The sequence below is a fragment of the Homo sapiens genome, chromosome 1 (genome assembly GCF_000001405.40).
Source record: "Homo sapiens chromosome 1, GRCh38.p14 Primary Assembly".
Classification (NCBI taxonomy): Eukaryota; Metazoa; Chordata; class Mammalia; order Primates; family Hominidae; genus Homo; species Homo sapiens.
Window position 1 is genome coordinate 72,753,175 of NC_000001.11, and position 11,164 is coordinate 72,764,338.

At 36.1% G+C, this 11,164-nt stretch overlaps 1 long non-coding RNA gene across 5 annotated transcripts in view; it reads right to left on the reverse strand.

Moving 5' to 3' along the window:
• LOC105378798 (uncharacterized) overlaps positions 1-11,164 on the reverse strand; it is a 69,237-nt gene that overhangs the window by 55,724 nt on the left and 2,349 nt on the right. The window contains exon 2 of one of the 5 annotated variants that reach the window (NR_188685.1): positions 3,357-3,384. The exons of the other annotated variants lie outside the window; for them this stretch is intronic. This is a non-coding gene — a long non-coding RNA (uncharacterized LOC105378798). The remainder of the gene's footprint in view (positions 1-3,356; positions 3,385-11,164) is intronic. 5 annotated transcript variants of the gene reach the window in all.

Genomic DNA, 11,164 nt, shown 5'->3' on the forward strand with positions numbered 1-11,164 from the left:
CTCTAGCTTACTTTATTGTAAGTATACAGGGTATTATATATATGACATACTAAATAGTCTTTAATCAGTCATACATGTTATCAGTAAGGTTTCTGGTTAATAGTAGGCTATTAGTAGCGACATTTTTTGAAAGCGAAAAGTTATAAGTGGACTTCTTACTGCAAGCGGGTTGGCACTCTTAACTCTTGCGTTGCTCAGGAGTCAACTGTGCATTCAAAGTAAATATTTTGATTTATATGCAAAGAAGTCAATTAAATAGGCAAAATACTTATATATTTTGTCACCCAAGATATAGTTTAAAACCAACCAGTGAACTCCAATATTAAAAAACAAAAAATTCCAGAATGAAAAGTTAATGCCCCAAGTCCCTCCACCCTTATCCCATGGCATAGTAGTTAACATTAAAATGTTTTTAGCATAACATAAAAAATTATTTGAATGATCCTGAAAAAAATTTCTTTTCTCTGATGTTTTCCTTTGTTATTTCTTCTAGGTATGTCTCATCTACCTTATCAAATCGAAGAACAGTGGGACGATTTTGGTTGTAGATTGTACTCTGTATTAACTATCCAAATAAGACATTTCCTTGGGTTGTCATCCTATATGCAGTTTTCTCTTTTTGTGTTTGTGTTTGTCAGAGTTCTCCAGAGAGACAGAACCAACATAAAGGATAAATTATAGATAGATAGATAGATAGATAGATAGATAGATAGATAGATAGATGAGATGGGACTTATTAGGTGAATTGGCTCACATGGTTATGGAGGCTGAGAAGGCCCCTGATAGGCTGTCAGCAAGCAGAAGAACCTGGAACCCAGCAGCATGGCTGATCAAGCCTGAAAGTTTCAGGATCAGCTAAAACAAATTTGCCTTTCTCCTGACTTTTTGTTCTCTCCATGCCCTCCTATATTAAGAGTGGAACTTGGCCATTCAGTCCACCAACTCACACACCAATCTTCTGCTGAAACATCCTCACAAACACATCCAGAAATAATGCTTTACCAACTCTCTAGGTATCACTTAATTTAGTCAAGTTCAGATAAGAATAAACTGCATGAGAAGGAGTAGTTCTAAAAAAAATGATTGTTACTTAAAGTATAATAAAAAAAGAAAAAAATGGAAAATATGAGCTAACTTAGAATGCATCAAGTTTTGACAGATTTTGGGTGTGTATGCAATTTTTTAACAAAGTTTTATAATAGCATAACATGACATTTTTCAATTCCTGTTTGACAATATGACTATAAAGAAAATCGTTCTTAAAAAAATGAGTGTTAATAGTTCTGGTAAACAAAGCAACAACAAAAACAAACTATAAGATCAAGGAAAGAATGAAAATTACTATTATAGTATATTTAGAAAAATGTAAAAATAAAGTCATTCTATAAAATCATAGAAAGTGTAGAACATCAATAGCTTTATTATTAAGCAAAAAAATAGTAACTCATCCTTCAAATTTAAAAAAGGCAGAAAAAGATGTTCAACACTGCTACTCTTTAGGAAAATGCAAATTAAAACTGCAGTAAGATACTGCTGTACACCTATAAGAACAGCTAAAATGAAAAACATTGATGACACCAAATGCTGGGCAAGGAAGTAGAAAAACTGGATCACTCATACATTGCTGATATGAATGTAAAATGGTACAACCACTTTCAAAAAACAGTTCAGCAGTTTCTTCAGAACTAAACATACAACTAGCATACAACCCAGCAATTGCACTCCCGGATATTTACCTAGAGGTATGCAAACTTATTCTCACATGAAAACCTGTGCACAAATGTTTATATAGCTGTTTTAATCATGATAGCCAAAATCTGGCAACAACCCAGATGTCCTTCACCAAGTGTGTGTCTAAACAAATCATGGTACACCCATGTCAAGAAATACTACTTGGTGATTAAAAAAAGAATAAACTTATAAACACAACAACCTGAATGAATTTCCAGGGTAGTATCTTGAGTTAAAACAACAACAACAACAAAGCCAATCTCCAAAGGTTATATACTGTATGGTTCCATTTATGTAATATTCTTGAATTGACAAAATTACAAAATGGAAGATTAGTGGTTGTCAGGGGTTTAGGGTTATGAAGTTGTCGGGGAGTAGAGGCAGCTATGTAAGAACACAGTGAAGCTTCCTTGTGGGGAGGAAACGTACCTTGACTGTATCAACGTCAATATCCTGGTTGTGATATTGTCCTACAAATTTGAAAGATGTTACCACTAGAAGAAAACTGGGTAAAGGGCATGGAATATCTCTCTGTATTATTTCCTACAACTGCACGTGAACCAACAGTTAACTAAATATTTAAAAAATTCAATTAAAATAAAGAAAAATCAAAACCCAACTCATCTAAGGAAAGCAACATTCATCAAATATGAGGGTAGTGATAGATTTGAAAACAAAAAAAAGCAAGAATTAATCTGGGTTCTGTTTTACACACACACACACACACACACACGCACACACACACACACACAGAGAAATAACAAAGCCCTATGCATCAAATTGAAAATAAAAAATATAGAATAAAAACAAAGTAAAAAATTAGTGGCTATAATTGCTCACTCTGAGTTGGTGAGACAAGTCAGTTGTTAATTCTGGGCTCCCACCCTCTCCCATCAGGAGAGGCCGCATTCAAAATTAACTTCCTTTTGCATCAGGGGCTGCTATATCACAGAATCTAGAAGAATGCCCCATATATGACACATTTATGTGTTAATGGGCCTACAAACTAATCTATTGAATGTTTATTCTTTGGTTGGAAGGTACTAAGATACACACTTTACTTACACACTTTCATATAATTTTCTCAACAACTACATTAATATGTTGATGTTTTTAACATCAACCTTACTTTCCTATTAAAAGAAACTGAGAGCGAAAAAGATTAATGAATGTCATGAATTCCCAAGGTCAGAAGGCTAGTATATGATTTGTAGCCAAGATAATCTGACTGCTAAATCTACTTCCTCTCGAATATCTTATTTATATGGAATACCTTCACACAACTTTCAACTTAGATGGGCATGAAAGAGATAGAAAGAGGGAGAACATCTGCTGTTATATATTTGTAGAGATTTAGGAAAGCTTTTGATATAAATTTAATAATATGTCAATTTTACTATAATTAATTCTCTTTTTAATATTATATGCATGTCAATCATATCCTCCTGTATGCAAAATCACTATTATTAATTTGTGGAGATGTTTCAAGAGCGTTGAAGGTAGAGAGAGGTATGAGGTATTGTTATTATTCCAATATTTATTATTGGGAATGTTCTTCATATTTTGAAGATAAGTTCCAGTCATTAATTATTCCCTGTCATGTTGCCTTGGTTACAATTACTCACAATAACTGAAGCTGTCGGATGTTGCAGGCTGAAAATGAAGAGTATTGGGTCAGATTACCACTGAGTTACATAGAATGAAAATCTAGTCATCTTCCTATTTAAAGCTTTCTAAATTCTCCTAAAATATCTTATTAGAAACACATCGCATAAGTAAAATATATATTTGAGTAATTTCTTTATTAAAAATTTGACTTCAAGGCCGGGTGCGGTGGTTCACGCCTGTAATCCCAGCACTTTGGGAGGCCGAGACGGGCGGATCACGAGATCAGGAGATAGAGACCATCCTGGCTAACACGGCGAAACTCCGTCTCTACTAAAAATAAAAAATAAAAAAAAATGTGCCGGGTGTGGTGGCGGGCGCCTGTGGTCCCAGCTACTCGGGTCCCAGCTACTCGGGAGGCTGAGGCAGGAGAATGGCGTGAACCCGGGAGGCGGAGCTTGTAGTGAGCCGAGATCGCACCACTGCACTCCAGCCTGGGCGACAGAGCAAGACTGGGTCTCAAAAGAAATAAATAAATAAAAATAAAAAATAAAAATTTCACTTCAGAACGGTGCCACTTATTCTACACTAGGGTATCTTGCCTTTTATAAATTCAGTCTCTTATTTAAATACTTTACACTGTACATGCGTTTAAAATGGACTTCAACTAGTGTGTTATTCCTTAGTAAGTAAGTATTCAGAAAACAGAGTATAAGAGGCAAATAATATGCCACATCATTCCACCATAAGTAACCTGAATATGCAATGCTAGCAAATTACACCTAGCTTGGAGAATAAGTTTCGTTTTGTGTTTTCTCCCTCAAGGATGTGGGCTACAAACCATTTTAAAATCCCTAATGTCTACTGAAAAATTATGCATGTATGCCCAGAGGAAATGTAATTAAAGAGAAAAACCTATGAAAACACTGTTCATTTTTATATATGTTGAGAAATTTTAACTTTTATTATTTTTTTCCTCTTAAGTCCTGTTATCCAAAGAAATGCAAAACAGTTGGTTTACAAGTGTTAGATCAGTTTCCAATCACCAGCATTATAAGGAGCATTATAAAACAACGTTCTATCCCCATTGTTTTCATGAAATTATTTTATTTTATAGCTAGAATACTTTTTTGTGTTTGTGCCGCTGCTCACCTTTCATTTAGTAATAATAGTACTGGCATGGCGTACCTCATAAATTTATTACAAAAATGAAATAATCTTGAAAACTATATTACATAAAATTTTAATTCTCAGCAGGAATTGATAGTACATATACACCATAAGAATATCATCTGAAAACATGCTTCAGAAAATTTTAGATATCAGGATAGAAAGATTTAATATCATAAGAGCTCAATCAAGGGTGCTGGATAAAAATCATGGAAAAGATATTTGAATTGAAGATCCTATTATGTCGATACCCAGTTGTACAGCCATATGCAAATGCAGGGGCATAATTTTCACATCTTATTTTAGAGGTGAGGCTCTGGGTGCTTGAACAGGGAACTGACTTGTAGCAAAATGCTGACCAGGCTTTATTTTATTCTGAGTCTTATCGGTGGTTTGTGAAAAGATTCTTCTTCTCCAAAGTCTATCCAACATGTTTCTTGTGAACCCTAACCAAAAATATACATTCACTGATAAAAAAGTCCACTTCTTCAAAGTCAAGTGTCATGGTAAAATTATTGAAAAATGCCAGCAAATGGACTGTGGGAGACTATGGTACAATATGTGCATCCTTAGATTTGTGGGTGAGGAAGGAAGTTATTGACTGTCTTTAACTCATGTAGAAGCTCTGACAATGGAAACTAGTTTAGAAATTTTGCCAAGGATAGTAAGGTTTCAGCACTTCGCATCTGGGTATGCCATTAGAGTTGCTGCCACAGTCATGCACACTACATGCTGTAGTATTCTGCCTTAGTCTGTTTTCTGTTACTATAAAAGAATACCACAGACTGGATAACTTATAAATAAACTTACTTGGCTTATGGTTTGGGAGACTGAGAAGTCCAAGAACATGGCACCAGCACCTGGTGAAAGTCTTCTTACTGCACCATAGCATGGCAAAAGGGTATCACATATTAAGAAGAAAAAGTGTGTTTGTCACCTTAGGTCTCTTCTTCTTTTTATAAAGCCCCAAGTCGCATCATGAGTGTCCCATCCCAATGACTTTATCTAATTCTAATTACCTCTCAAAGACTGAAATTCCAGTCAACATATTAATTTAGAGATTAAGTTTCCAACACATAAAGTTTGGGGGACACATTCAAACCATAGCATTCTACACTTGGCCCCCAAAATTCATCTCCTTTCATGTGCAAAATACATTAATCCATCCCAACAACTCCAGTCTTAACTCGATCCAGCACCAACTCAAAAGCCCAAAGTCCAGAGTTTCATCTAAATCAGATATGGGTGTGCTTAAGGCATGATTAATCCTGAGGCAAATTTTCTTCAGCTATGAACCTGTGAAATCAAAACAAGTTAAGTACTTTACAAAATACAATGATGGGGCAGGCATAGGATAGACATTTCCATTTCAAAAGAGGGAAGGAGGCTAGAAGAAAGGGGCAACTGATCCCAAGTAAGTTCAAAACCCAACAAGGAGCACAAATTAAGTTGAAAAACTAAAGAATAATCTTTCGCTCTGTGTGCCACCTCTCAGATACATGGAGGTGAAAGTTGTGTTCCCAAGGCTTTGGGCAGCCTGACACATGGCTTTACTCAGCTCAACCCACACTTCAGTTCTCCCAGTCTGCAACGGCACACTGGTGGCTGTGCAGTTCTGGAGTCCCAATAGTGATCTACTAGGCATTGCCTGGTGGGCACTCTCTGTGGCAGCTCTGACCCCACATTTCTTTTTTGTTTACATTTTTTATTTCAATAGCTTTGGGGGTACAAGTGGATTTTTTGACATGGATGAATTATATAGTGTTGAATTTTGAGATTTTAGTGCACGTCACCCAAGTAGTGTACATTATACCTAATGTGTAATTTTTTACCCTGAGCCTCCCTGCCACCCTCCCTATCCTGAGTCTTTAATGTCCATTATATCAGTCTGTATGCCTTTGCGTATACATAACTTAGTTCCCACTTATAAGTGAGAACATATGGTTTTTGGTTTACCACTCCTGTGTCACTTGACTTAGAATAATGGTCTCCAGCTCCATCCAAGTTTCTGCAAAAGACATCATTTCATTCTTTTTAATGGGTGAGTCATAGTCCATGGTATGTGTGTGTATATATATATTACATTTTTTTAATCAACTTTAGTTGATGGGCACATAAGTTGGTTCCACATTGTTGCAGTTGTGAATTGTGCCGCTATAACCATACGTGCACCAGTGTCTTACTGATATAACAACTTACTTTATTTTGGGTAGATACCCAGTAGTGGGATTGCTAGATCGAATGGTAGATTTACTTTTAGTTCTTTAAGGAATCTCCATACTGTTTTCCGTAGGGGTAGTACTAATTCACATTCCTACCAGTAGTGAACAAGCGTTCCTTTTACTCCACATCCACACCCATGCCTATTGTTTGCTGGCTTTTTAATAATGGCCATTCTTGCAGAAGCAAGGTGATCTCATTGTGGTTTTAATTTGCATTTCACTGATGATTAGTGATGTTGAGCATTTTTTCATATGCTTCTTGGCCTCTTCTTTCATATGCTTCTTGGCCTTTATTGTATCTCTTCTTTTGAGAAATGTTTATTTTTGTCCTTTGCTCACTTTTTGATGGGATTATTTGTTTTTTTTCCTGCTGATTTGTTTGAATTCCTTGTATATTCTGGATAGTAGTTATTTGTTGGTTTTGTAATTTGGAAAAATATTTTCTCCTATTCTGTGGGTTGTCTATTTACTCTGTTGATTTTATTTCTTTTGCTGTGCAGAAGCTTTTTAGTTTAATTAGGTCCCATTTATTTATTTTTGTTTTTGTTGCATTTGCTTTTGGTGACCCCACATTTCTTCTCAGCATTGCTGTAGCAGGTACTCTGTGGTGGCTCTATGTCTGCAACAAATCTCTACTTTGTCCCCCAGGCTGTTTGCAACACCCTTTGAAATCTAGGTGTTGAAATCTAGGCCATGACTCCTCTTGCATTCTGCATACCTGCAGAATGATCACCAGATAGATGCTGCCAACTTTTATGATTGTACTTTTCTGAGTGAAGACTGGAGCCACACTTGGGGCTCCTTCAGCCACAGCTGTGGTAGCTGAGGAGCACTACACTGAAATGCAAGGAGCAGAGAACCAAGGAAGCTCTGGGCAGAGACCCATTTTCCAAAATCATTCTGCCCTTTTAGAGTTCTGGACTCATGATAAAAAGGCAGTTTTAAAGATCTCTGAAATGACTGCAGGGTATTTCTCCCACTGTCTTGATTCTTTTTGTCAGTACTAATCTTCTTAGAAAACTGTCACTGGACCATATTCTTGGTTTCTTCTGCTGAAAAATGTTTTCTTTCTCTACCACATGGCCAGGCTGTGAATCTTGCAAATTTTCATGCTCTGTTTTGTTTCTCATCTTACTGTAAGTCTTTAAAAGTGGCCATGCAGTAGTCTGAATGCTTTGCTGCTTAGATATTTCCTTCTGCCATATAACCTGGTTTATTGCCCTGAAATTCTGCATTCTATAAAGCCCTTGGGCATGAGCACATGTCAGCCATGTTCTTTGAGACACAACCACATAAGTCATTTCAAAGAAGTTGCAGAATTCCCTTAGTCTTCTTGTTGAGCCATTACCAGAATTGCCCATAATGCTTAGTTTGTGGAAATACAGTCATTTTCTAGTCTGTTCCTCCAAATTGCTCCAGCCTTTACCCATTAGCCAGTTTCAAAGCCACTTCCACATTTTCAGGCTATTTGTTATAGCAAAAACTCCACCTCTCTATACCAATTTTCTTAGTCTATTTTCTATTGTGATAGCAGAATACCACAGACTGGATAATTTATGAAGAAAATAAGTTATTTAGTTCACAGTTCTGTGGGCTGGGATTCCCAAGAGCATAGTGCCAGCAACTGGTGAGGACCTCCTTACTACATCATAACATAGCAGAGGGCATCACATGGTGCGAGGGCAAGAACAAGCCTGTCACCTCAGGTCTCTCTTTCTCTTTTTATGAAGCCCCACTCTAATGATCTTATCAAATCCTAATTACCCCCTGAAGACCCTACCTCCAATCAACATATGAATTTGGGGATTAAGTGTTCAGCACATGAAATTTGGGAGACATATTCAAATCATAGCACAGTTCTTTGTGCTTATCTTCACTCAATTCTAAGCTAAAGGATTTTCTGGAATCAAGACCAAAATAGTCTCAGCCACCTATAAGTGTAATGTAATCAGAGATTATACCACAAGCTTTTCTGATTCCACCTATTCTTCTTCCTATTTTCCAAACCGTCTCCTTTTCATGCCACAAAAGACCCTTACCAACTGATCTGGGAAACTCAGCCCCCATTGGATCCAAATATTCAGTAGGAAACGATATAATGACTTTAGGGCTAGTTTTGAAGGGCTTCTTTCCAAGACTTAAATAAGTTTTAGACTTTCCAGGAAATAGCTACTCCCTTGCTCATCTCTCCATGTGGTGGTGGGAAGAAACAGTTTTTGTTATATTTGTTTTGTATTCTGTACTGTATCATCTATTTTTTTTTTTTGACAGAGTTTCACTCTTGTTGCCTGTGCTGAAGTGCAATGGCTCAATCTTGGCTTACTGCAACCTCCGCCTCCTGGGTTCAAGTGAGTCTACTGCCTCAGCCCACTGAGTACCTGGGATTACAGGCATCTGCCACCATGCCCAGCTAATTTTTTGTATTTTTAGTAAACACGGCTTTCACCATCTTGGCCAGGCTGGTGTTGAACTCCTGATCTCAGCTAATCTGCCCGCCTCAGCCTCCCAAAGTGCTGGGATTACAGGCGTGAGCCACCACGCCCGGCTATTTTCTATTTTTTATAACATTTCTACAAGAGAGGTATTTCCTATTCCTTATGTCACATAAGTAAAATGAAACTCAGAGAAATTTAATTATTTGCCTCAAATTGCACAACCAAGACTTGACTACAGATGTTATAATGTCAAATCAATGAGAATTTCTATGGCATACATGTATTTTTTTATTCTAAGAATGATAACCGAAAATAATGAAAGCAAAAACTGCCTATAACAAGAAAATTTTTATTTCAAATTATATTTAAACTATGTTTAACACTCTTACTGAACACTGTATATTTGATGAAGTATTTTACAATATTGTACTATCAGTTTTTCATATTATTCTCCCTGAGTGAAACCTGTTTCATATCATTGACCCCCTTTAAACAGTATATGTGACTTAGAAAGACCTTTTTAAAAAATATCTTTATTCCTAAACTTCACTAAAAAAAAAAAAAAACACTTTGTCTCCTTCCATTCTCATCCAAAGAACATTTAAAATAAATTAATTTTCTTTAATTTGCTTCAAAGAACAAAGGCTCTTTATGATAAGATCAGATTAACTTTCATTGAACCTCTATTTCTAAACAGGTATCCAGAGATTAAAAAAAAATAGAGATAAAACAAAGAAGTCCTAAAATTTCTGTCTAGTAGGGTGAATGTTCTCTGTAGTAATAGATTTTTTCATATTCTTGTCAATAGAATTGGAGAAAAAAAGTGTAAATCTAGAGCATTTCATTTGAGTACTAATAGGTACCAAAAGAAAATGGTAACTGACTTCCCTTTATAGTGCCACTCTAAAAGCTGTCACTTTAGTAAATTTCAGGAAAAAGGAAAGAGAAAAGAAAGAAAACTTTCTCATCCAAGAAACAAGCATGTTCACCCTAAACTAACTTGATCTTTCTTATTAACCAAATAATTTTAGAAATGTTGTAAAGAAGAAAGAGGCAGGACTTCTGGCTATGGACAAATGAGGAGATTGGCAAATTTTCCCTTCCAAAAAGCAATGATAAAATGGAATACAGTTAATGAAAACATCTATTTTTATGCTCTTTTAATTGACCAAAGGCGATTTTTGAGAAGCTCTTCTGCTTTAGAACTGCTTCACTTTGGGTAGTGACAGTGTGAATTTGTAGTGTTCATGCCTGTGGCTACTCCTCACAGTTCTATTTGGAGTGATAAAGAATTCTCTTAGGAAATGGCATTGTTGATGAAATAGACAACCTTTGTGGTTTGGAAGCGGGGAGGAATAGTGGTTCTACTTGCTTGAGGTTGTGGTCATTGTTGAGGCATAGACATGCTTGTTTCAGACATGCAAGGTGGAAACTATACAGGGCCCAAGCTCTCCATATACTCTTAACTCAACTCTGTGTGCAGTCATGAAGGATACTTGAAAAGAACCAGTGGAAAGTAAAAGAGATATCAGATTGGAAAAAAATACCCTGAGGTTTGAATGTATATCTCTAAATACAAATAGATATACCAAAAGCCTTACTGGCTCAAGGCTCTTGAGCACAATTTCTCTCAAATCATTAGCTTGCCACCTAATTATACAGACACAGAAGTGACTGCTAGAAAATTTGACTTACATTTAGCAAGAATTAAAAACAGAACAAAACATGGACAGACAAACAAAAACTTAACATGGATATTAGGGAGTACAAACTATGGAGGAGACAGATTTCATAGATTTAGCTCAGGTAAATCTGAACCCTAAAACAAACAAACAAAAAATACAACCAACCAACAAACAATCCTAGCAAATTTATAAAAAGGTAAAAACAAAACATCAATTTATAAGGAGAAAAATAGAATTCAGAGTTGCTATGATATGCTGTCTATAAAAAAATTGAGACATCCAAAGATACAGGACAGTTAAGGAGGGAGAAACAGTC